Source organism: Homo sapiens, chromosome 10, assembly GCF_000001405.40.
Source record: "Homo sapiens chromosome 10, GRCh38.p14 Primary Assembly".
NCBI classification, from domain to species: Eukaryota; Metazoa; Chordata; class Mammalia; order Primates; family Hominidae; genus Homo; species Homo sapiens.
In genome coordinates, this window is record NC_000010.11 from 35,219,889 (window position 1) to 35,246,312 (window position 26,424).

The window sequence follows — 26,424 nt, forward strand, 5'->3', positions numbered from 1 at the left end:
TTTGGTCAGCCAGAATTTTTTTTTATTAGCCTTTTCCTCACATAACCAGCCAGTGTTAAAATAGATTTGATGTCATGAAGGTTGCAGCTTTTAGGCAGTATAATTTTTTTTCCTGGCATGCATAATTCTGTATTATGTACATGGTTTCATTCATCCTTTTATCCAGATGTCTGAATTGATGTAACCCAGCTGGATTTTATTGGAGTTTAGACCTAGAAGGGTAGAAGACAAATCTACCTTATCAAGGGTATAACATGCCTAACCTATTAGTCTTTCTATTCAAGTAACCTGACTTAATATCATTAAATGCTGGGTTGCTGTTGCTCCAGGAATACAGGATTGTGGCAGTTTGGTGGGGCAGGGAGGGGAGGTTGGAGTACCAGCAGAGGGTTTCATAGAGGGAACACCCCATGTAACAATAGAGAAAGAAGACTGAGTTGCTGGAGGGGCTTAGCAGAAAATCTATGGGAACTCTTCCACAGCTGGTATGGACTTCACGCACCAAAGCACATTGAGATTAGCTGTGGTTTCTTAGGGATTTTCACTACAATCAATTACTTGAATACTTCTAGAGCATTTAGTATCCCAGACACCCCTGTTTCATGATTTTCATTTTAAAATGAGTCAGGCAGTGATTACCTATGTTCTTAAAAATCCATCCTGGATAAAAAGAACTACAGAAACAAAAGAACAAAGTCCAAAGCTACAGGCGCTGTGAAGAGCAGAATGAACAGTGGGTGTGTGCTTGGCTCGAGGAACCATGGCTGACAGCCACCAGACCTGGGTTCTGGTCCTAGCTTTTCTGTTAAAACTCCCTGTGTCGCTTTGGCAAGGTCATTTGACCTCTGTTTGATTGGGAACCTCTGTTTTCTCCACATTGACCTTGACATTTGTGACACTGTGATGAAATTCACAGTGAAATGTAAATTTCAAAGAAGAGTTCATCAGATCTTATTTGTTACCTCATCCCTGTGAACACAGCTTCTAGATTCTTAGTATCAGGTCATGAACCTATAAAATTATCTTTCAGAATGTCTTCAACATCAATATTTTTAATAATCCATTCTGAGGATTGCCCAGCATTTAAGAGAAAAAAGCCTTAGGCTGAAACTGGCCTGTGATGAAGGCAGGGACATCTACTTTGATTCTGGTAACTGGATTAAGATTTTCACACATGAAGACTTTACTTGGGCAAATTTTGTTTTACTTATGTTATTTATAAATGCACCAAAACTGTGACTGAATGAAAATTTTCCACCGCAGGAGTTTCCTCTGCCCTTCTCAACCTAACAGGGCCGCACCAAGTTAACAGAAATTATCACTGGCTTAGAAAAGGTTGTGGTTTTCAGTGTACATTAGGAGGGTTACTGTCCTGTAACCCAGTTTATTATTTTAATATTCTTGAAAGAACTGAAGTAATGAAGGGAGAGGCTATATTTTCTTTAGAAGATTTTTCCATGTTATTTGAAAGGTTTTATTCACACATATTTTTCTTAGCAGAAAAACAATTAAATTGAAAAAATTTTAAAAGTACTTTTAAAACGTACTTTTAAATGTACTTTTAAAATGTACTTTTAAATGTACTTTTAAAATGTACAAAAATATTTTAAAATGTACATTTTAAAGTACATTTTAAAATTTTTTCAATTACCCTTTAATAAAGCTGGAGGAAAATAAATAATATAAAATTATACATTTTGTAGATGTGAAATATGTCATAAAAATCAAAGTTTATAAAAAATGTTTACCAAAATATATAACCAGGCTGGGCACGGTGGCTCATGCCTGTAATCTGAGCAATTTGGGAGGCTGGGGCGGGTAGATCAATTGAGGTCAGAAGTTCGAGACTAGCCTGGCCAACATGGTGAAACCTCATCTCCACTAAAAATACAAAAAGTAAGCCAGGCATGGTGGTGCTTCCCTGTATTCCCAGCTACGTAGGAGCCTGAGGCAAAAGAATCGCTTAAACCTGGGAGGCGGAGGTTGCAGTGAGCCGAGATCACACTGTTGTACTCCAGCCTGGGTGACAGAGTGATACTCTGTCTCAAAACAAAACAAATATATAACCTGTATAAGGCTAATTTAAAATAGTTTTAATAGTTTTGATAGGAATGCATTTCCAGTTTGCTTATTAAAATTTATTATGGTGTGAGTTTTAAAATTGTATATACAATGGATAAACTGATTTTAAATATATATTTTTTATTTCAATAGCTTTTGGAGTATAAGTGGTTTTTGGTTTCATGAATGAATTGTATAGTGGTGAAGTCTGGAAATGCTAGTGCACTCATCACCCCAGGAATATAAATTGTACCCAAGGATAAAATGATTTGATAGGCTCAATCATGATCGATTTGAATAAGCTGATACTTGAAAATATTTCCTTATTCCTGACGTTTGATAACTTCAAGTCCCTGAGACCCAGAACAAAGGCCTTCTTGTCGTGAAAAGGCAGCTACATCTAGTGGTTGGTGGCATTTTCATTGGAAAATTTGGTTTATGAAAAAAATCCTTCATAGCTGTCTTTGCTGACATTCTGTGGTTGTACAGAGCATTATAACTAATGTGGTGTGTATGTGTAACTTAACTGAGGTATAACTTTTACACCATAAAATTCACCCATTTTACCTGTACAACTCAATGATTTTTAACAAATTTACCAAGTTGTATAATCATCACCACAATACAGATTTAGAACATTTCCATCACCCCAGTAAGATTGTTCACTCCCATTTATAGTTAACCAATACTTTGGTTTTATTTATTATTATTATTATTGTTTTTCTTTTAAAGACTAGGTCTCACTCTGTCGCCCAGGCTGGAGTGCAGTGGTGCAATCATAGCTCATTGCAGTCTCAGACTCCTGGGCTCAAGTGATCCTCCCACCTCAGCCTCCCGAGTAGCTGGGACTACAGGTGTCCATTGCCATACCTGGCTAATTTTTAAATTTTTAAATGAAAATAATGCCCAGGCTATTCTCGAACTCATGGCTTCAAACAGTCCTCCCACCTCGGCCTCCCAAAGTGCTAAGATTACAGGTGTGAGCCGCCGCGTCCAGCCCCTGGCCAGTATGTTGACTGTAGCCTGTGAAAGACCCTTAGTTAGAGGACCCGGTTAAGCCAGGGCCGGATTCCTGATTTACAGAAACTGTGAGATAATAAATGCTGTGTTAAGCCTCTAAGTTTGGGGATTGTTATGCAGCAATATGGAACTAATACGTCTACTCTCCAAGCTAATCTAGCAATGTATGCAACTGAATATCCAATCTGCCAACCACAGAGACCAGTACTGTGTCCCTTCACTGGCACTATCCTCGGAGGAGAAGAACCAGCCACTAGGTGGCAAGTCAGTGACAGGGACCCTCTTCCACCTTGGAAGGGACAGAGACAGAATGTTTGATCCTCTGGCATGGGATACCTCATAACATCACATCAGGCCTGGGAACCACGTTACAGCAAGGGAGGTGGGAGAGTGGCCCAGGAACACAGGATCCCGTAGTGAAGCCACAGAACAGTGGACCTGATAGAGGCATGGCTGAAGTGCCCACTCCAGGGCAGGACTTTCAGGGCATAAGGTGCCATCCTCCAGGACACAGGCTGCACTTTAAAGACCTTTACACAGTGCTCAGTGGGAAGAATGCATGGGCCTGGGGACCAGAGGCCCTGCCTGTCTCATCCCCAGGGACCAGTTGGGAAAGGAATCGGCATTTCCCATTCTCTGTAAGTTTGGGTTCTGCAGGTCTAAAGGGCCTGGTCCCAGGAAGACACTTCTGCCAGGGGAGGTGCCACCAGGGCACTCAATCTCCTTGTGCCAAGGGACCTTGCAGCAGGAAGAGGAGTCACCCTCCTGGTGGCACTGACTGGCCACCATTACCAGGAGGAGGAAAGGCTTCTGCTCCAGACTGGAAGTATATGTTTGGCACCCAGGCGATCCATGTGGGCACCTCAAGTGCAGCAATCCCAGCTGAGAACAGCAGATGTGCTGGCTGAGGGATGGATGAATGGGGAACAGATGTAGAGGAAAGAGACGATGAGTGTGGACTGCAGCCTGAGGCCAGCTGTGGTGGGAAGGGCTGTGGTTTGTTCTATTAACCTTCCTCTTCTAAATTCTCCCATAGGCTAGGTATGGTGGTATACACCTGTAGTCCCAGCTACTTGGGAGGCTGAGGCAGGAGGATCCCTTGAGGCCAGGAGTTGGAGGTTGCAGTGAGCTATGATGGCACCACTGCATTCCAGCCTGGGTGACAGAGTGGGATCCTGTCTCTAAAAAAAGAAAAAGAAAAAGAAATCCCCAGGAGGAGGCGCCCCCACACTCCCCAGAACCTCCAAGGAGCTGCTCTCTTAATGTATGTGAGCAGCTGGCGGGCAGGGGTGGTTGTGGGGAAGACTGGGACAACCCCCGCTCCTCTGCATACAGGATCTTGCCCTTAGCTGCTGGGAGTGCTGTCAGCCCACAGCCTTCAATTCAGTCCCTTTGGGTGCTGCCTCACCTGATGCTCAAGGGTCTGTATCCAGCAATGGACCCAGGTGGCCCCACCAGACCACACCTAGGGTCGGTCTAGCTCCTGAGCTCCCTGTGGGGTCAGATGAGGTGGTCATTTGGCCAGCACAGGAGCTGTTTCTCCCTTCACCCACTCGTGGACTCTTGCCCTCCCAAGAGCATCCCTATGAAACCTTGTGTGCATGCCAAGTCCATCTCAGAGCCCGCTCTCTGGCAGCAACTTTATGCCGATCAGTGACAAAACTTAGACAAGTTGGGCCATTTTTCTAGAAAATCATAAATTTCCAAGCCAACTCAAGGGAAAAGAGAAACCGTGAACAGTATAACCATTCACAAAAATTAATTATACAAAATAACACCAGGGTCATTCAGCTTTACAAGCAAGTGTTATCAGATTTCAAGGTATGGATTCCTATCTTAGAAAAAAAAAAAACAGTTACAGAAAATAGTAAAAGAAACCTAACTAATTTTATGAGATTTGTATAACATTTGTAGTAAAATTAGGAAAGTCCATTATAAAAGAAAATGTATATGCTAATCTAATTGATAAACTAATATACAAAAGATCTAAATAAAATGTTACTAAATTAAATCCAGCTATATATTAAAAATATTACAGTATGATCAACTAGGGGTATCCTAGGAATACACATCAACAGATTAACATACAAAAAGAGAAAGAAAACATATTTCACTTGATGCAGAAAATCATTAGCTATGGTTCAACACCCTTTCTTGTTGTCAAAACGTTTACAAGATAAACTTCTTGGCAAACCAAGAATAGATGGTGATGTGGTTTGGCTGTGTCCCCACCCAAATCTCAGCTTGCATTGTAATCCCCATAATCCCCACATGTCGAGGGAAGGACTTGGTGGGAGATGATTGAATCATGGGGGTGGTTCCCCCATGCTGTTCTCATGATAGTGAGGAGTTCTCAAGAGATCTGATGGTTTTGTAAGTGTTTGACAATTTCTCCTTCACACACGCCCTTTCCTGTTGCCTTGTGAAGACGGTGCTTGCTTCCTTTTTGCCTTCCGCCATGATTGTTAAGTTTCCTGAGTCCTCCCCAGCCATGTATGAGTCAATTAAACCTCTTCCGTTTATAAATTACTCAGTCTCAGGTATTTCTTTATAGCAGTGTGAGAACAGACTAATACAGATAGGAACTCCCAAAACTTGATAGTGTACAACCAGCTTACTTATTAGTATAGTTAGAAGCATGATTCAGTATTGTAATGAAGTCCCTAGCTAGTGCAACAAGATAAGAAAAACAAAACAAAAAACTAAGTTGTCATTATTTACAGATTAAAATGTCCATATACAAAATTCAAAAGAATCTGCAGACAAAATGTTAGAAAAATAAAATTCACTAAGGTTGCTAAATAAAAGATAAATATGTAAATTAAAATTTAATAGTATTCCTATATACCTACAAAAAACAAGTAGAAATTGTAATAGTAAAAAATCCTATTCATAACAGCAAAACATATACACAGCACCTAGGAATAAACATAACAAAGGCTATACAACAATTTTACGGAAAAAATTATAAATCTTTACTAAAGGGCACAAAAGAAGGCCTAAATAGAGAAACCATGTTATAAATGGAAAAGCTCAGCATTCTAGAGATGTCAATTCTCAAATCAATCTATAAATTCAATACCACTCCAATCAACACCCTAACAGGGCTTCTTTTTCCATAGAACCCAGCAAACATCTCAAAACTCACAGTGAATTGTAAAAGGCCAGTGTGGTGACTGAATAATGGCTCCCATGAAAATGTCCACCTCTTAAAGGCTGGACCTGTGGATACATTACAATAGCAAAAGAGACTTTTCAGATGTGATTAAATTAAGAGACTTGAGATGAGGAGATTATCCCGGATTATTGTGTAGGCCAATCACTAGGGTCCTTCTAGGAGGGAAGTGGGATGGTCAGAGTGAGAAAGAGGCTATGTGACCAGAGGAGCGGAGAGAGACCAGAAGATGCTGCACTGCTGCCTTGCAGCAGGGGGAAGGAGCCACGAGCCCAGAAATGTAGGCAGCTTCTAGAAGCTGGAAAAGACGGGGCCATGGCTTCCTAAGAGCCTCCAGGAGGAACACAGACCTCCAGAACTGTAAGAGAATAAACTTGTGTTGTTTTCAGCCCCTAAATTGGTGGTAATTTGTTATAACAGCAACAGGAGACTAACACAGTAAAAAACAGTCAAGTGACTTAGAAGAATAAGGAGAGAAACTTGCCTTGCAGCTTTCAAGACTTTCTAGAAAACTATTGTGATTTGAGTAATATGGAACTGATGCAGAGTGTGAGACTAATGAAACAGAAAGGAGTGATAACCACTACGCTGAGTATGGTATGTCTAGAGCTGGCATTACAAACCAGGAGGAAAAGAATAGACCCTTCAATAAACGGTGCTGGATAATGCTTATGCACACGATACCTCATTTAATAAAATACCTCATTAATAAAATACATTCTGGCCAGGCCCAGTGGCTCACACCTATAATCCTAGCACTTTGGGAGGCTTTGGTGGGTGGATTACTTGAGGTCAGGAGTTTGAGATTAGTCTGGCCAACATGGTGAAACCCCGTCTCTACAAATACAAAAATCAGCTGAACGTTGTGGTGTGTGTCTGTAATCCCAGCTACGCAGGAGGCTGAGGCAGGAGAATCGCTTGAAACCAGGAGGCAGAAGTTGCAGTGAGCCGAGATCACACCACTGTACTCCATCCTGGGCGACAGAGTGAGAGTCCGCCTCAAAAATAAATAAATAAAAAATAAAAATACATTCTGTCAATCAAACATTAAAACTTTTGAAGAAAATTAGAAGAATGTCTATATCAGGATTAGGATTTGTTGAAAAATTATTGAAATGCTCAAACAGTACAGAAAAGTCAGGTAGAGATCGAGTATGTTAAAAAAGAAAACTGCTGTATGACAGATAACACCATAACAAGGGTAAGAGACAAGCCACAGACTAGAAGATATTTTCATCACATAAAACTGGCAGAGGATTATTATCTAGAAATAACGAGAACTAGCATTTTTTTTTTTTTTTTTGAGACAGGGTCTTACTCTGTTGCCCGGACTGGAGTGCAGTGGTGCAATCTTAGCTCGCTGCAACATCCACCTCCCAGGTTCAAGCAATTCTCATGCCTCAGCGTCCCCAGTAGCTGAGACTAAAGGCACCCGCCACCATGCCTGGCAATTTTTTTATTTTTATTTTTAGTAGAGACAGGGTTTCACCATGTTGGCCAGGCTGGTCTCGAACTCCTGACCTCAAGTGATCTGTCCACCACGGCCTCTCAAAGTGCTGGGATTATAGGTGTGAGCCACCGCGCCCGGCCTTAAGAACTAACATAAATTGGCCGGGTGCGGTGGCTCACACCTGTAATCCCAGCACTTTGGGAGGCCCAGGCAGGCGGATCACGAGGTCGGGAGATCGAGACCACGGTGAAACCCCGTCTCTACTAAAAATACAAAAAATTAGCCGGGCGCAGTGGCGGGCGCCTGTAGTCCCAGTCACTCGGGAGGCTGAGGCAGGAGAATGGCGTGAACCCGGGAGGTGGAGCTTGCAGTGAGCTGAGATCGCGCCACTGCACTCCAGCCTGGGCGACAGAGCGAGACTCCATCTCAAAAAAAAAAAAGAACTAACATAAATTAATAAGGAAAAATACAGCAATCCACATGCAATATGGGCGAAAACTGAATGTTTACAAAAGGGAAAAAGCAATGAATAAACAGGAAAATATGCTGAATCTTTCTTGTATTAAGGAAATGAAGATTAAAACTAATTATTTCATATTCAGCAGATGGGGGAAAATTTTTAATACCACCTAGTGTTGGGAGGATAGGGAGGAATGGGGACTCATATACTACTGGTTGGAATGCAAATTGCATCTTTATAGAGAAATTGGTTGCTACCTATCAACCTTGAAGAGGCATGTATCTTGGGAGAGCTCCTAGATGTATATCTGAGAGACTCTCAAGGAGGCAGGTACAAGGAGATTGTTTATTGCAACAATGTTTATAATAGAAAATTTTAGCCAGGTGCCTATAATCCCAGCACTTTGGGAAGATGAGGCCGGTGGATCACCTGAGATCAGGAGTTTGAGACCAGCCTGGCCACTAAAAATACAAAATTACTAAAAATACTACTAAAAATACAAAATTAGCTGGGCATGGTGACGCATGCCTGTAATCTCAGCTACTCAGGAGGCAAGGCTGGAGAATCGCTTGAACCCAGGAGGCAGAGGCTACAGTGAGCAGAGATTTCAACACTGCACTCCAGCCAGGGCGACAAGAGCAAAACTCCGTCTCAAAAAAAAAAAAGAAAAAGAAAAAGAAAATACTGGAAACAACCTGAGTGTCCTTCAGTAAGGAAGGGATAACTGTGGCTTATTATACAAAGGAATGCTATTCAGCAGTTCGAATGCATGAATTATAGCTACATGGATCCAAAGGATCAATGTTGGACTGTGTTTCCCATAAGAAAAAAACTGTAAACTGATCTAAGAGTTATATCATTCGTGTCAGTTTTACCCTCATAAAATAACACTATAGGCCAGGTTTGATGGCTCACGCCTGTAATCCCAGCACTTTGAGAGAACGAGGTGTGTGGATTGCTTGAGGCCAGGAGTTTGAGACCAGCCTGGGCAACATGGCAAAACCCCTTCTCTACTAAAAATACAAAAATTAGCCGGGCATGGTGGCAGGTGCCTGTGGTTCCAGCTACTCCAGAGGCTGAAGTGGGAGGATCCCTTGAGCCCAGGAGTTAGAGGCTGCAGTGAGTCAAGACCGTGCCACTGCACTCCAGCCTGGGCAAAGGAGTGAGACTGTCTCCAAAAAAAAAAAAGCCAGTTCTGCTCACTTTTGCCCTCTCTGCTGCCTAGCTTGCAAACATGATGGCTGAGGAGGATCCGTGCCATCCTAAACTACAAGCTGACCTTGATGACAGGTCACACTCTGAGGATGGAGAGGCAGAAACAGCATCGTAAGGACTCCAGTGTGGCTTTTATGTGAAGCCACCATACTGGCTCCTGAAAGGCCTCCCTATGTCAGGGCTGTTATATGAGAATAAACTCTTGTATTCAAGCCACTCTCGTGGGGTTTCTGTTACTCCTGGGGGAATGCCAACTGCTAACTGACACAGCTTCCATATTGTGGGGTCTGACCTAAGCAGACCTGTACTATGATTTTAGTGATTCAATTTTACCTTTGGTCCCATATTTTGAATGTCAGTTGGGGGATGTTTATTCACAAGACTGCAGATTGCAGACTCCACCACCACCCATGAAGTAATAGAGCATGCATTTTATAATTTCTCTATAGTTTTTTTTTAATTTTTAAATTTTTTTGTAGAGATGGGATCTTGCTGTGTTGGCCAGGCTGGTCTTGAATTCCTGGCCTCAAGTGATCCTCCTGCCTCAGTCTCCCAAAGTACTGGGATTACAGGTTTGAGCCACCACACACAACCTATCTGTAGTTTTTAAAAAATTATTAAGTAAAGGGTTGACAACACCAAGTACAATACCTTCTGTAGATAAAATATACCCAAATATTAATATAATATCTCCTTAAAAATCATTGAAAACACATACATTTATTTTGTAGCTACTATTATAAGGCGGGAAAGTTTATATTTTCTTTATAGCTGGCACCAGAATACTTTTGACAGAAAAACAAAACAAAACGACAACAAAAAAACAAACAACAACAAAACACCTGTTTCTGTTGGGAAAATCTATTTGTGTGCTTGGGGTGGAAGCTGCTTCCCTAGAGCCTGAGTATTGGCCGCCCCCAGGCTTGAGGAAATTGAAAACTCCTGTGCATTAGAGAGGAGAGAATTTCCTAACTCCAGGGTTCCTTTTTGTGGGAGGTGGAAGTTTGAGGTGGGATTTGCTGTGTGATAAAGACTTCCCTGGGAACCTACTTGTTCACAGCTCACAGAGTGTGAATGTGAGGCATGCCAACTCTGATGGCAGAAACTTAGGGCCAAATAGAGGGAGTAGGAGCAGTGGCAGAAACAAAGGGCCTACCTGTAGCCAGTGTCTTGATGACATTTTGGGGTTCCTCCTGACATCCTCGGAGATAAATGACTCTAGGACATAGCCGGAAGTTCATGATCACTATGGCTGCCAAAGCCATGGACTCAGGTGCCGGAGAGTGGGAAAGTATTACAGACAATTTCATTTTTAAATATGAGAGCCAAAATTCTCAATAAAATATTCATAAAGATAATTTAAAAGTACATTAAAATAGTAATATAGATCAACTAAGTGAGATTCATCTCAGGAACACAAAAACTCAAAAAAATTTTTAATGCAAAAATGTTAAGAAATCTATGAATATAACTCATATTCATTTGTTAAGAAGGAAAAATACGATTATCTCCACAGACGCCAAAAACTGGAACCACTTTCTCCAGCTTTCCTCCCAACCGGGAGACAGGAAATAAAATGGCAAGTGGAAGGCCGCGATTTCTGTTCTTATGCAAAACTCATCCTTGGATTCCTATGTCCTGTTTGGCCCACCACTTTCTTGTTGGGTATATTAGGGTGATTCTTAAGGAATTCCCTGCTCTCCCCCACCTCCGTTCCTTTTTTAAAATTATTTATTTATTTATTTATTTATTTAATTTGAGATAAGGTCTTGCTCTGTCACCCAGGCTGGAGTACAGTGGTGAGATCTTGGCTCACTGCAACCTCCGCCTCCCGGGTTCAAACGATGCTCCTGTCTCAGCCTCCCGAGTAGCTGGGACTACAGCCGCGCGCCACCACACCCAGCTAATTTTTGTGTATTTTTAGTAGAGACGGTGTTTCACCATGTTGGCCAGGCTGATCTTGAACTCCTGACCTCAAGTGATCTGCCTGCCTCGGCCTCCCAAAGTGCTGGGATTACAGGTATGAGCCACCATGCCGGCCTTTTTATTAAAGATTTTTAAAGGGGCCACGCTAATCTTCTCTGTATTATTCCAATTTTAGTATATGTGCTGCTGAGGTGAGTACGACATCTGTTCCCCTTATACTGCTGCTGGGAGTGGGAATGGGATGAGTCAGGAGCACCTAGAACCTGCTTGGTCAAGAGGATAATGGGACTCTCCCACATCACTCTTACTCTTGATGGGAATTTTTAAAGATTATAATATAAGTAAGACCAATCCCTCCATGCCCTGTCCACAAGTACCTTTTGTAATTGCTACTGCATTATTTTGCTGCTTTTAAACCACTTCTCTATTTTGTTGTGAATTTTGAGGAGGTACCTCATTGGAGTCTCTCCCCATTTTACCACCGAGGTCTAGAATATGCACTAATTTAAAAAGAGAAATTGGCAACTTTCGTGGGAGGGTGAGGGATCCTTGACAGTCACATATAGATTGATTAAGACCCTATTCTGCTTTTCCCATGGAATGGGAACTTCTGGAGCCTGTGGTCCTACTATGAGCCTGGCTATCAGGCAATCACAAAGCTCCTATTTGAGGTAAGAAGACACCAGAGGCCAGGCACAGTGGCTCACACCTGTAGTCCCAGAGATTTGGGAGGCCGAAGTGGGAGGATCACTTGAGGCCAGGAGTTTGAGACTTGCCTGGGCAACGTAGCAAGATGCTATCTCTATTAAAAAAAAAATTAGCCAGGCAGGCTAGGCACAGTGGCTCACCCCTGTAATCCCAGCACTTTGGGACGCCAAGGTGGGTGGATCACCTGAGGTCGGGAGTTCAAGACCAGCCTGACCAACATGGAGAAGCCCCATCTCTACTAAAAATACAAAATTAGCCAGGCATGGTGGTGCCTGCCTGTAATGGGGGAGGCTGAGACAGGAGAATTGCTTGAACCCGGGAGGTGGAGGTAGCAGTGAGCCGAGATCTCACCACTGCACTCCAGCCTGGGCAACAAGAGCGAAACTCCATCTCAAAAAAAAAATTAGCGAAGCATTGTGCCATGTGCCTGTGGTCCCAGCTACTCGGGAGGCTGAGTCAGGAGAATCACTTGAGCCCAGAAGTTCAAGGTCACAGTGAGCTATGATTGCACCACTGTACTCCAGTCTGGGCAACAGAGTGAGACCCTCTCACTTTAAAAAAAAGAAAAATTCAGAAATCAGATACTTTATAGGGAAGGCAGGACAGGAACTGAAGATAGGCCTTTTTATCTGTCTTTGGAACTTGCCACAAAATATTGCAGTAATGACAGCCCCTGAGGCAGAGAAGCGAAAGGGATTTAAGAAGGAATTTCTGGAGCCACACATTCAGAACATTAAATGGATTTAGAGTTGTCACCAACTGGTTCTGGTGGCAGGATGCCCAAACACATTCAGATGGGAACCAGCAGTAATGAGTATTGTCAGGAATCATCTGTTAGATTTCTAAACACACATGAACGGGAAGGAGGAAGGACCTCTGTATAGCAGTGAAACCAGAGAGACTTGTGCCTCAAGCCTGGGCTACTCAATCAGACACTCTAGGAAACATGTATTTTTACAAAGCTCTACAGACAATTCTGTTACCCAGTGCTACGGTTTAATGTGTCTGGCAAATGCCAGGTGTTGGAACTGAATCCCCAGTGTGGCAGTCGTGAGGGGCAGGGCCTTTAAGAGGCGATTGGGTCATGAGGGCTCTGCTCTTATGAATGGATTAACCCATTCATGGGTTCATGGGTTAATGGATTAATGGTTATCATGGGAGTGGCACTGGTGGCTTTATAAGAGGAAGAGAGCCTTGAGCTAGCACACGCAGCCCCTTCCACTGGGCGACACCCTCACAACTCCGCAGTCTCCACCAGCAAGAAGGCTTCTACCAGATGCTGACCCTTGACCTTGGACTTCTCAGCCTACACTGTAAGAAGTAAATTCCTTTCCTTCAGAAATTTCCCAGTTGCAGGTATTCTGTTATAAGCAACAGAAAATGGACTAAGACACCCTGACAGAGCTGAGAACTGCTTCAGTAGAGGCTCTTCTTTTCCTCACCCATTGTGATCAGGGACTCAGGCCTCCACAGTGCTGCAGCATACTACAGTTTCATATAATACGGGCCGGGTGCAGTGGCTTCTGCCTGTAATCCCAGCACTTTGGGAGGCCGAGGTGGGTGGATCACCTGAGGTCAGGAGTTCAAGACCAGCTTGGCCAACATGGTGAAACCCCCATCTCTACTAAAAATACAAAAATTAGCCAGGCTTGGTGGTGGGCACCTGTAATTCCAGCTACTTGGGAGGCTGAGGCAGGAGAATCGCTTGAACCAGGGAGGCGGAGGTTGCAGTGAGCCGAGATGGCGCCACTGTACTCTAGCCTGGGCGACAGAGTGAGACTCCCACCTCAAAAACAAAGAAACAAAAAACATAATCATCGGCCAAGCACAGTGGCTCACGCCAGTAATCCCAACATTTTGGGAGGCTGAAGCAGGTAGATCCTTTGAGGCCAGGAGTTCAAGACCAGTCTGGGCAAGAATCACACCACTGCACTTTGGCCTGTGTGACAGAGTGAGACTCTGTCTCTTAAAAACAAAAATAAAAGGCCGGGAGCCGTGGCTCACGCCTGTAATCCCAGCACTTTGGGAGGCTGAGGCGGGTGGAGCACGAGGTCAGGAGATCAAGACCATCTTGGCTAACACGGTGAAACCCCGTCTCTACTAAAAATACAAAAAAATTAGCCAGGCGTGGTGGCTGGCGCCTGTAGTCCCAGCTACTCGGGAGGCTGAGGCAGGAGAATGGCATGAACCCCGGAGGCGGAGCTTGCAGTGAGCCGAGATAGCGCCACTGCAGTCTGGCCTGGGCGAAAGACCGAGACTCCGTCTCAAAACAAACAAAAAAACAACAAAAAACAAACAAACAAAAATTGACGTAATAATGATATTTATGACTGAAAACAAATACTGAGACATATAAGAATTTTAGGAATCTCACAATTTTGGAACACCTGTTGATAATACATTTATATAAATGTAACTCAAAGAAGGTTAAATACCATTTCTCATTTAACAATGCTTCCCATATAATTATTTACATAGTAAATAAGCCTAACACATCTCTCTTGGACTCCCAGGGGTCCTTTTTGGAACCTCTAAAAGTTAGTTTGAGGTTAAAAGGACAATTTTAGAATTTAAAATTTGACTTTGGGTAGTTTATCCAATAAGAAAGGTTTAAAACACTTGATCAAAATAGGAGCACAGGTCACTGCAAAGTAATAGTCATTCATTCAGCTAAAGTGATAATTCAGATTTCAAAAAGTAAAAACCTTTACTCTTTGATAGAGAGACATTCTGTTTTTCAAACAATCAAAAGACCTAATGACGATAGCTAAGACCAACAGAATCTGTCTCTCCTTCTCCCCTTTTTTACAGTTGGTCTCAAAGGTAAACAAAATCTTTTGCTTTTATTAATACTACACGAAAATCTCATTCAAAAGAGAAAACCAACTTCTACTTTTGCATTAGCATTTTGTTTTGTTTTGTTTTTGAGACAGAGTTTTGCTCTGTTGCTCAGGCTGGAGAGCAGCGGCGCGATCTCAGCTCACTGCAACCTTCACCTCCCAGGTTCAAGTGATCCTCCTGCCTCAGCCTCTCAAGTAGCTGGGATTACAGAGGTGCACCACCATGCCCAGCAAATGTTTGTATTTTTAGTAGATACAGGGTTTTTCCATGTTGCCTAGGCTGGTCTCGAACTCTTGGACTCAAGTGATCTCCCCAGCTTGGCCTCACAGAGTGCTGGGATTACAGACGTGAGCCACCATATTATGCTGCATTAGTGTGTTATTAATAGTTAGGCCAATTTCAACAAAGCCTTATAAATAGATGCATCCAATTTCAATCAACTTTGACCACACAAAGTAAGATTTCTGTTTACCTTTTATAACCTCTTACAAGTTTTCTCATTCTTTTTCCCCCCAACTTTCCATATCTATTCATCTAAACTAGACAAAATTACTTTTCCTGTAGCAAAAACTGCATTCTCATGCCTTTCCTATCACCCTCCTCACCAAAAACACATACTTTTCTTACATACTCTGTATACAGAAGTGTTTCTCTCAGTTCTAGTTGTTTCAGTTATATATTAACTATAATTTTAACACTTAGTAGCCCTATTTTTCAGTGAAAAACCTAGGGAGTAAGCTATTTTAATTGTTATGTATCGGGGGCAGAGCCCAGGACAGAGGCCAGAGCTGTAAAGACAATACCCAGAGGATCCAACCCTTCCCAGAATGGCCAGGAAATCCTGCTGGCCCAGGGAAGATGGGCCCAGGCACTGCAGACACACGTGGGTCCCCAGGCCTCACCATGGCCACTGTGTAGACTCCAGAATCAAATGGCTCAAAACCTAAGTCATAAAGTCACAGACAAATCAAGCAAGTTTCAAAAATATCTCCTAGCACTTTGGGAGGCTGAGGCAGGAGGATCTCTTGAGCCCAGGAGTTCAAGATCATCCGGGGCAACATAAGGAGACGCCATCCCTTCAAAAAGTAAAAAAAAATTAGGCAGGTATGGAGGCATGCACCTGTAGTTCCAGCTACTTGGGAGGCTGAAGTGGGAGGATAACTTGAGCCTGGGAGGCCAAGGCTGTAGTGAGCCATGATCGTGCTGCTGTGTTCCAGCCTGGGCAACAGAGCAGGACCATGTTTCAAAAACAGTAACAACAACAAGAAAAATTGCAGAAGCTGTTAACAGTTTTACAATCTTAAAACATATCACAGAGACAGTATAAACCCATCTAAACCAATAGACTCAGACAAAATGTCTAAATTACATTCAGACAATGTTTTTATTTTATTGTATCAACAATATTAAAACTGGTTTTATTTACCAAAGATGTTGCATGAATTTGAAAAGCATTTGGGATTATTAATTTATAAATGCTAATTTATTTATAAGTCAATTTGGTACCATGTAGATAATATACAAGCAGACATGTGTATATAAAAATACATGCAGACGGCTGGGCGTGGTGACTCATGCCTGTAATCCCAGCACTTTGGGAGGCCGAGGCTGGTGGATCACCTGAGGTCAGGAGTTCAAGACCAGCCTGATCAACATGGAGAAACCCCATCTCTACTAAAAATACAAAATTAGCTGGGCGTGGTGGTGGGCGCCTGTAATCCCAGCTACTCAGGAGGCTGAGGCAGGAGAATCGCTTGAACTCGGCAGGCGGAGGTTGCGGTGAGCTGAGATCCCACCATTGCACTCCAGCCTGGGCAACAAGAGCGAAACTCCGTCTCAAAACAAAACAAAACAAACAAACAAAAAACATGCAGACATAAATAACATAAATAAAGGTCTTACAGCTTTGATTTCAAAATCATAGCCATGAGACTGGTAAAACTCACTAGTTTAAAAGGACAGGTGGATTAAACTGTGTCTCTGTAAATGGAACAGATTAAAGTTTATCTGTCTCACATAGCTGAAGCCCTTACTGAGATAATAATAAGAGATAATAATCTCTAATTATCAGATTTCAACCAGGAAAAACAGCCAATATTTTTGGGCTTTGAACCTTTTAACCAAAAGGAAGTGGCTCCCTAATTGGGAATCAAATCCAGTCCACAGTGGTGAAAGCACAGAATTTTAACTCCTAGGCCACAAGGTGGAGTGGCCGCCACTACAAATCCTGCAGGGACTCCAAAGCAGGCAGTTTAAGCGTACAAAGGATTTTAACTTTGTTTTCCGTCAGATTTTTGTTCTGAAACTTTTGTTAGGAAAATGTCTAAGGCTAGCCATGATACTATTAGTGCCTTTCTTTTAATTTGATCTTTCCCTAAACACAAATAAGGCACTTGTTTGGAATGAGAGGTCTCTAAAATAGTTTTAGTTTAGGGGGCCTTTGTAACTTAAAGAATCAATCTTTTGGCCACTGATGATTAGAATTTCCTGAGATGTGGCCAGGCATGGTGGCTCAAGCCTGTAATCCCAGCACTTTGGGAGGCCGGGTTGGGGGGGGATCACTTGAGGTCAGGAATTCAAGACCAGCCTGCCAACATGGTGAAACCCTGTCTCTACTAAAAATACAAAAATTAGCTGGGTATGGTGGCTTGCCTCTGTAATCCCAGTTACTTGGGAGGCTGAGACAGGAGAATTGCTTGAACCCGGGAGGCGGAGGTTGCAGGGGGCCGAGATTGAGCCACTGCACTCTAGCCTGGGTGCCAGAGTGAGACTCTGTCTCAAAAAAAAAAAAAGAATTTCCCGAGATGTACTTATGCAAATAGCAACTCAATCTAATAAGCCTCTTCATGGAATGCCCAGGAGGTTATTTTCCAGGTTTCAATGAAGTTTTTACCAATAAACAAGAGGTGCTTCTTGGAGAGGGCATAGAACAGGCAGCCTCAACGATCCCCATCCTCACAAATTCACTCCCAGGAATAGACTAAGGCAGCAAAAGACTCTTGTTGCCACAGATGATAAAAGATGGCGTTTTTACATACAGTGCTTCTAGTATCCCACACATTTATGGGGGGCCACCAGTCATACACCTATTAATCTGTGACACGAGGCAGGCTCTCCTGGGATTGGACTTTCCCAGGACTAACCAGGCAGCAGGGGTTGAGACAACAAAAGCACCTTATAAATAGGACTCATTGGCCGGGCGCAGTGGCGCGTGCCTGTAATTCCAGCTACTCAGGAGGCTGATGCAAGAGAATCGCTTGAACCTGGGAAGCGGAGGTTGCAGTGGGCTGAGATCACACCACTGCACCCCAGCCTGGGTGACAGAGCGAGACTCTATCTAAAAAAAAACAATGACAACAACAAAAAAACTGCAGAGCCAGCTGGCACAGTGGGCTTCTGGGGGTTCTAGATCCATGTTCTACCCTAGGGCACCCCTCTTTATGACAGATCAATACCAAAATACAAGGGAAAAGACTGAGAGAAAAAGGATCAGACAATACCAATATTCATGCCTAAAAATATACCAGAATCGCTACGTAACCCAAGACTAGTCACACAAATCCTTTTCTCCAATTAATCAAGATTTTAGGCAAGGGAAAAGAGACAAACAGTGATTTCTGCTGTCTGCTTGACCGGATTTCACGGAGAGAGGCCGGAAGCCTGGCTGGTAGGAATTTCTTACCCTTCTGATGCTTTGTCAGGTCCTGGGTTCCCTGGACTGTGGCTTCCAGAAAAGTAGAGCAGCTTTAGGATCCTGTCTGTGACGCCAACACTGTAGGGGCCAAGGGAAACCTTCCCAAAGGTTTGCTGAACATCAACAGACAAAGGCAGATTATTAAGAGACAAAGCTTGCAAATCTATTAACATGCATAGGGGAAAATCACAGAACGATCACCCCAGCTTCCCAGTGAAGCACAGAAGCTTTTCTGCCTTTTTTTTTTTTTTTTTTGAGACAGAGTCTCGCTCTGTTGCCCAGGCTAGAGTGCAGTGGTGCCATCTCGGCTCACTGAAACCTCCACCTCCCAGGTTCAAGTGATTCTCATGCCTCAGCCTCCAGAGTAGCTGGGAATACCCCACCACCACACCCGGCTAATTTTTTGGATTTTTAGTAGATATGGGGTTTGGCCATGTTGGCCAGGCTGGTCTTGAACTCCTGACCTCAAGTGATCCACCCACCTGGGCCTCCCAAAGTGTTGGGATTACAGGTGTGAGCCACCAGGCCCAGACTTTTCTACCTTTTTTTTTTGAGACGGAGTCTCGCTCTGTTGCCCAGGCTGGAGTGCAGTGGCAGGATCTCGGCTCACTGCAAACTCCGCCTCCCAAGTTCATGCCATTCTCCTGCCTCAGCCTCCCAAGTAGCTGGGACTACAGGCACCTGCCACCACGCCCTGCTAATTTTTTGTATTTTTTTTAGTAGAGACAGGGTTTCACTGTGTTAGCCAGGATGGTCTCGATCTCCTGACCTTGTGATCCGCCCGCCTCGGCCTCCCAAAGTGCTGGGATTACAGGCGTGAGCCACCACACCCAGCCTCTACCATTTTGAGATTACAGAAAAAATGGGGGCTCCGAGCATGGCCCCAAAAAGTTTATGGTGGTAAGTCAGGTGACAGTGGCAAGACAGATTATGGATGGGAGAGAAAAGGACGCCTGGCTAGCAAAGGTGGTCTTGTTATGCAGCTGAAACCTCACGGGTAGCAGCCCTCAGAGAGAAGAGGTGGGAAATATTCCTTTCAGATCTTGAGAGATGTCAGACTCTCAGTTCATCTTTCCTAGATCTGGACCAGGGAGGACCTCAGAAAGCCTGGCTGCAGGGATGCAGATTTGCTCTACAGATGCAAAAAGCTCAACGCAAAAGACAGCTTTGCAGGGCTGCTTAGCTCTCTGAAGAGCTATCTCAAAATATGTCAACAAAGGATATTTTGGGGTGAAATATTTTGGTTTCCTTCAATATCTCAGGTCCTTTGGAGCTTAAAATCAAGTTATCTGACCAGACCTATGATCTGATTTCTTTTGAGAACTTAGAAGAAAACTTAGAATGAAATAACAAGAACAAGCCATGGGAATGTTGGGAAAATGAGAGGCTGGAGTTGGATGTTTTGATCCTCAGAATCCTCACTTAACAAATGAGGAGTAAAACACTGTATATATAGTGTATGTCTCTATATACAGATATACAGAGTTGCTGGATTAATGTATTTGGGACATTCTTAGGTTAAAAAATTAATTTTTAAATCTGAACTGTAAATATTACTGGGTGTCCTGTATTTTTATTTGCTAAATCTGGCAGCCTTAGTAATTTTAAACAAAAAAATTAAATATAATGTTTGCTAAAAAATAGACTCTATTAATCAATTTCAATCATTTTCTCCAAAACCTTCCTAGGAGAAATTACTGTTTTAAGAGGGCCAAGGTGTTTAAGTCGCGCTGACTAAAATTTGCTAACTGACCTCTAGAGGGAGCCAAATTGATAAAGAAACCGAAATGACATCCTAAATCCAGAGAATTTCTCTCTTTTTCCTTTTCTTTTTTTTTTTTTTTTTTTTTGATGGAGTCTTGCTCTGTCGCCCAGGCTGGAGTGCAATGGCGCGATCTCGGCTCACTGCAACCTCCACCTCCCGGGTTCAAGCGATTCTTCTGCCTGAGCCTCCAGAGTAGCTGGGATTACAAGCTCGCACCACCACCCCTGGCTAATTTCTTCTGTTTTTAGTAGTGACTTTTAGTATTTTTCGTAGACATGACCGGGCGCGGTGGCTCACGCCTGTAATCCCAGCACTTTGGGAGGCTGAGGCGGGCGGATCACGAGGTCAGGAGATTGAGACCATCCTGGCTAACATGGTGAAACCCCGTCTCTACTAAAAAAAATACAAAAAAAATTAGCCGGGTGTGGTGGTGGGCGCCTGTAGTCCCAGTTACTCAGGAGGCTGAGGCAGGAGAATTGCTTTAACTAGGGAGGCGAAGGTTACAGTGAGCCGAGTTTTTGCCACTGCACTCTAGCCTGGCGACAGAGCAAGACTCCGTCTCAAACAACAACAACAACAACAAAATGATGCCATTATAACAATCTATGACCCAGCCAGGTTTGTCTCAAAATATAAAGAGGGAGAGGCCGGGCACGGTGGCTCACACCTGTAATCCTAGCACTTTGGGTGGCAGAGGTGGGCAGATCACTTGAGGCCAGGAGTTCGAGACCAGCTTGGTCAACATGATGAAACCCCGTCTCCAGTAAAAATACAAAAATTAGCCGGGCGTGATGGTGCGCACCTTTAATCTCAGCTACTCAGGAGGCTGAGGCAAGAGAATTGCTTGAACCTGGGAGACAGAGGTTGCAGTGAGCCGAGATCATGCCACCATACTCCAGCCTGGGCAAGAGAGTGACAGTCCATCTCAAAAAAAAAAAAAAAAAAAAAAAAAAAAAAAGACAGCATTTGGGGCCGAGTGTGGTGGCTCATACCCGTAGTCCCAGCATTTTGGGAGGCCAAGGCAGGAGGATCCTTGAGGCCACAAGTTCAATGCCAGGCTGTGCAACATCTCTACAAAAAACACATTAGCTGGGCATGGTGTTTCATGCTGGTAGTCCCAACTACTCAGGAGGCTGAGGCAGGAGGATCACTTGAGCCCAAGAGTTGGAGGCTGCAGTGAACTATGCACCACTGCACCCCAGCCTGGGTGACAAAGACCCTGTTTCATTTAAAAAATAATAATTTTAATGAATTATTTAATTCAAATAAAGAGGGAACACTTGGAATTTAGAAAACCCTATCTCTTCAAAAGCCTATTTTGCAAGTCTGTGGTCTCAGAAAATTTCAAAAGCAAAGACTAGACTGCAAAAATTGAACATTTACTCTTTCTCTTTGCCTTTTTTTTTTTCTTTGACAGAGTCTCACTCTGTCTCCCAGGCTGGAGTGCAGTGGCACGATCTTGTGCCTCAGCCTCCTGAGTAGCTGGGACTACAGGTGTGCGCCACCACACCTGGCTAATTTTTTGTATTTTTAGTAGAGATGGGGTTTCACTATGTTGGCCAGGCTGGTCTTGAACTTCTGACCTCAGGTGATCCACCGGCCTTGGCCTCCCAAAGGGTTGGGATTACAGGCGTGAGCCACCGTGCCTGGCCTTGCCTTCTTGACACAAAAATTATAATCCTGCATGAGGCAGATGCGTGATGCCAACAGAATAAGGAAAGGTCATATACATGTCGGGGGACCCAAGCATATTATGTATTTAATATCCCAATAATGACCCTTACAATGTTATTCAGTGTCACAGCCAATCTGGCTTCATCAAGTACCTTTTTTTTTTTTTAAGAGAGATGGGGTCTTGATATGTTGTCCAGGCTGTAGTGCAGTGGCTATTCACAGATGTGATCATAGCACACTGTGGGCTCTAACTCCTGGGCTGAAAGTGACCCCCTCCCACCTGAGCCTCCCCAGTAGCTCTCTGCTAATTTCTTTTCTTTTTTTTTTCTTTTTGAGACAAGGTCTTGCTTTGTCACCCAGGCTGGGGTGCAGTGGCTATTCACAGGCATGATCATAGTGCATTGCAGCCTCAACCTACCAGACTCAAGTGGTCCACCCATCTCAGTCTCCTGAGTAGCTGGAACTACAGGCACATGCCAGCACACTTGGCTATTTTTTTTTTTTTTTTTTGGTAGAGACAGGGTCCCACTTTGTTGCTCTGGCTGATCTTGAACTCCTGGGATTAAGCAGTCCTCCCACCTCAGCCTCCCACACTGCTAGGATTACAAGTATGAGCCACCACACCTAGCTCCTGCTAATTAAAAAAAATGTTTTTTAGAAACAGGGCCTGGCTATGTTGTCTCAAACTCCTGGCCTCAAGCAATTCTCCTGCCTCAGCCTCCTGAGTAGGTGGTACCACAAGTGCATGCCACCATGCCCGGCCTCAAGTACTTTCCTATGTCTAATGTTTAGCCAGTAGTTATTCAAATCCAAGCAAAGAAAAATAATTCCTAACCTCTTAGCACTCACATTCTTGATTAGAATATATGCCATGTCCCTATTATCTGGAGGTCATCCTTTGGGGCCACTCTAACCCTCCACAAACATCAGAAAAAAAAAACAATGGAAAATATTCCTCAGTGCCTGAAGTAACTATAGTAGAAGATGATTTAACCAGCAGTCTAACTGGTAAACAAATTGTTCTAAAATAATTTTCATGTGATCATCCATTGTTAAAAATTAGGTCATTGCAGGCTGGGAGAGGTGGCTCACGCCTGTAATCTCAGCACTTTGGGAGGTGGGTCACTTGAGGCCAGGAGTTCGAGACCAGCCTGGCCAACAGATGAAACCCCGTCTCTACTAAAAATTCAAAAATTGGCCGGGCACGGTGGCTCAATCCTGTAATCCCTGCACTTTGGGAGGCTAAGACAGGTGGATCACGAGGTCAGGAGATCGAGACCATCCTGGCTAACACGGTTAAACCCCGTCTCTACCAAAAATACAAAAACAATTAGTTAGGCGTGGTGGCGGGCGCCTGTAGTCCCAGCTACTTGGGAGGCTGAGGCAGGAGAATGGCATGAACCTGGGAGGCAGAGCTTGCAGTGAGCCGAGATCGCGCCACTGCACTCCAGCCTGGGCGACAGAGCGAAACTCCATCTCAGAAAAAAAAAAAATTAGCCGGGCATGGTGGTGCATGCCTGTAATCCCAGCTACTCAGGAGACTGAGACAAGAGAATCACTTGAACCTGGGAGGCAGAAGCTGCAGTGAGCCAAGATTGCGTCACTGCACCCCAGCCTGGGTGACAGAGCGAGACTCTGTCTCAAAACAAACAAGCAACAACAACAACAAAACCACATCCAAAGATATTAGAGATAGATCAATATTTAAAATTTATTTGTTATTGTTTAGAGACAGAGTCTCGCTCTGTCACCCAGGCTGGAGTGCAGTGACATGATCATAGCTTACTGTACCCTCCAACTCCTGGGCTCAAGCAACCTTCCTGCCTTAGCCTCTCAAAGCACTGGGATTACAGTTGTGAGCCACCATGCCTGGCCTGACTTAAAACATTGTAATCATTATGCTCTTTTAGAATTAAGATATTTAAACTTCAGATATATTCATCATTGAAATAGGTCAAGTTGCAGATTTTCTGGGTAATACATTTATTTTATGAAAACCAATAACCTGAAATGATGCACTTGATTGGGTGGACAGCAAAACTATGTCTGCTATTATATACTATATACTAGGATGCAAGTTCTATGAAAGCCAAAACTTTGTTTTGTTCAGCCCTTCATCCCTGCCACCAAGAACAGAGTCTGATATATAATAAATGCAAAATAAATGTTTTTTGAATGAATTAATGCATGCTAACTCATTTTTCAAAATTTATGTTTAATTGTGGCAATATACACATAGCATAAAATTTAACATCTTAAAATTTAACATTTTTTTGTTGTTTTTTCGTTTGTTTATTTGTTTTTTGAGACAAGGTCTCACGGTCACCCAGACTGCAGTGCAGTGGGGCAATCTCAGCTTACCAGTCTCCACTTCCCGAGTTCAAGTGATCCTCCCACCTCAGCCCCCCAAGTAGCTGGGACTACATGCACATGCTACTATGCCCGGCTAATTTTTGTATTTTTAGTAGAGACGGGGTTTTGCTATGTTGGCCAGGCTAGTCTTGAACTCCCGAGCTCAAGCGATCCACCCACCTTGACCTCCCAAAGTGCTGGGATTACAGGTGTGAGCTACCGCGCCCAGCCAACATCTTAACCATTTTTAAGTGTACAGTTTAGTTTGTCTTGCAATACTGAATCTCTATACCCATTAAACAACAATGCTCCACTTTTCCTCCCTTCAGTCCCCAGAAACCACCTTCTACTTTCTATCTCTATGAAGATAGAGAACTCGAGGTACCTCATATCAGTGTAATTACACAGCATGTGTCCTTTTGTGACTGGCTTATTTCACATAGCATAGTATTCTCAAGGTTCATCCATGTGGCATGTCAGAATTTCCTTCCTTTTCAAGGCTGAGTAATATTCCACTGCATGGATATATCACCTTTTCTTTATCCATTCGTCCATTGATAGACACTTGGGCTGTGTCCATCTTTTGGCTATTGTGAATAATGTTATATGAAAATAGATGTTCAAATGCTGAAGATCTTCCTTTCAATTTTTTTGATGGGTGGGGGGTTTTATATCCAGGGGTGTCATTGCTGAATCATGTGGTAATTCCATTTTTAACTTTTTGAAGACCTTCCATACTGTTTTCCATAATGGCTGCACCATTTTACATTTTCTCCCACCATGCACGAGCATGTTTCTAACTCCTAAGTTTGGTGATCTGGTTTCTAGGTGTGGTGCCGAGGAGCAGCAGGACATTAGGAGGTGTTAGCAGGTAAAACAACAGGACAAAGTATCATCTGGCAATCTACTACTGAGAGACAAGAATTCCAAGAAGCAAAATTAGTACTAGATTATTACGATATTCAATCACGATGCTTTCAGTGGTGTTCTGGAGATGCCATGAAAAAAGTTATGTTGTTTTTTCACTGTACAAGGAGGCAGGCATCTATCTATTTCAGAAAGACATTCATTGATTCTCAATTATGTAAGTATTGTCATACTTAATTTTGTTGTTTAAAAAACTAAGACTTCTAACAAATATGGTGAAATTTTCAGCCGGATGCAGTGGCTCACGCCTGTAATCCCAGCAATTTGGGAGGGTGAGGCAGGTGGATCATGAGGTCAGGCGTTCAACACTAGCCTGGCCAGCATAGTGAAACCCCGTCTCTACTGAAAAAAAATACAAAATGTTAGCCAGGCGTGGTGGCGGGTGCCTGTAATCCCAGCGACTTGGGAGGCTGAGGCAGGAGAATCGCTTGAACCTGGGAGGTGGAGACTGCAGTGAGCCGAGATCGCGCCACTGCACTCCAGCCCGGCTGACAGTGCGAGGCTCTGTCTCAAAAAAAAAAAAAAAAAAAAAAGCGAAATTTCCAAAGGACTGGTGGTCATTTTCATTTATCCAGAAATGTCACTTATAGGGGATGTATCCCTTCTCTATGATGCCCCATTAGTGGGATGTTACTGCTTCCATATACAATAATGAATCATATGGATACACTCCCGTATTGTTCATTCTTGAACTGTTATAAATACATACTTGAGACTGAGTAATTTATAAAGAAAAGAGGTTTAATTGGCTTATGGTTCCACAGGTTATACAGAAAGCATGATTCTATCATCTGCTCGGCTTCTGGAGAGGCCTCAGGAAACTTACAATCATGGCGGAAGGGGAAGGGGGAGCCCACAGGTTACATGGCCGGAGGAGCAAGAGCGAGAAAGGGGAGTTGCCATGCACTTTAAAACAACCCGATCTTGCGAGAACTAGCACCAAGGGGCTGGGGGTAAAACATTCTGCCCCATGATCCAATCACTTCCACCGGTCCCCACCGCCAACACTGGGGATTACAGTTTGACATGAAATCTAGGCGGGGACACAGATCCAAACCATACCACCTCCCAAATATAAAATGTGATGCTATAAGGACAAATACTAAGCTACAATGATATTTTTAGTTCATAGTGTTTGTCATTGTGAAATGTTTAT

At 43.4% G+C, this 26,424-nt stretch overlaps 1 long non-coding RNA gene and 1 pseudogene across 3 annotated transcripts, besides 1 other annotated feature; both read right to left on the reverse strand.

Annotated features, from left to right (window-relative positions):
* Positions 1 to 24,791, reverse strand: LINC02634 (long intergenic non-protein coding RNA 2634). Of its 3 annotated transcripts, XR_930818.3 has the most exons (4): positions 24,727 to 24,791; positions 18,539 to 18,663; positions 10,538 to 10,599; positions 1 to 212 (listed from the first exon to the last, which is right to left on the reverse strand). It is a non-coding gene; the product is annotated as a long intergenic non-protein coding RNA 2634 (long non-coding RNA). The 3 variants fall into 3 exon arrangements; XR_930819.3 differs by lacking the exon at positions 10,538 to 10,599; XR_007062111.1 differs by lacking the exons at positions 18,539 to 18,663; positions 24,727 to 24,791 and having other exon boundaries at positions 10,538 to 11,103.
* Positions 8,772 to 9,272: an enhancer, noted in NCBI's record as "H3K27ac hESC enhancer chr10:35517588-35518088 (GRCh37/hg19 assembly coordinates)". NCBI's record gives its function as "activates a minimal SCP1, AML or CMV promoter by ChIP-STARR-seq in naive H9 embryonic stem cells {active_cell/tissue: H9 hESC(naive)}" and the evidence as "EXISTENCE:reporter gene assay evidence [ECO:0000049][PMID:30033119]".
* Positions 11,443 to 11,506, reverse strand: RNU6-794P (RNA, U6 small nuclear 794, pseudogene; annotated as a pseudogene).
* Positions 24,792 to 26,424: the final 1,633 nt, after the last annotated feature.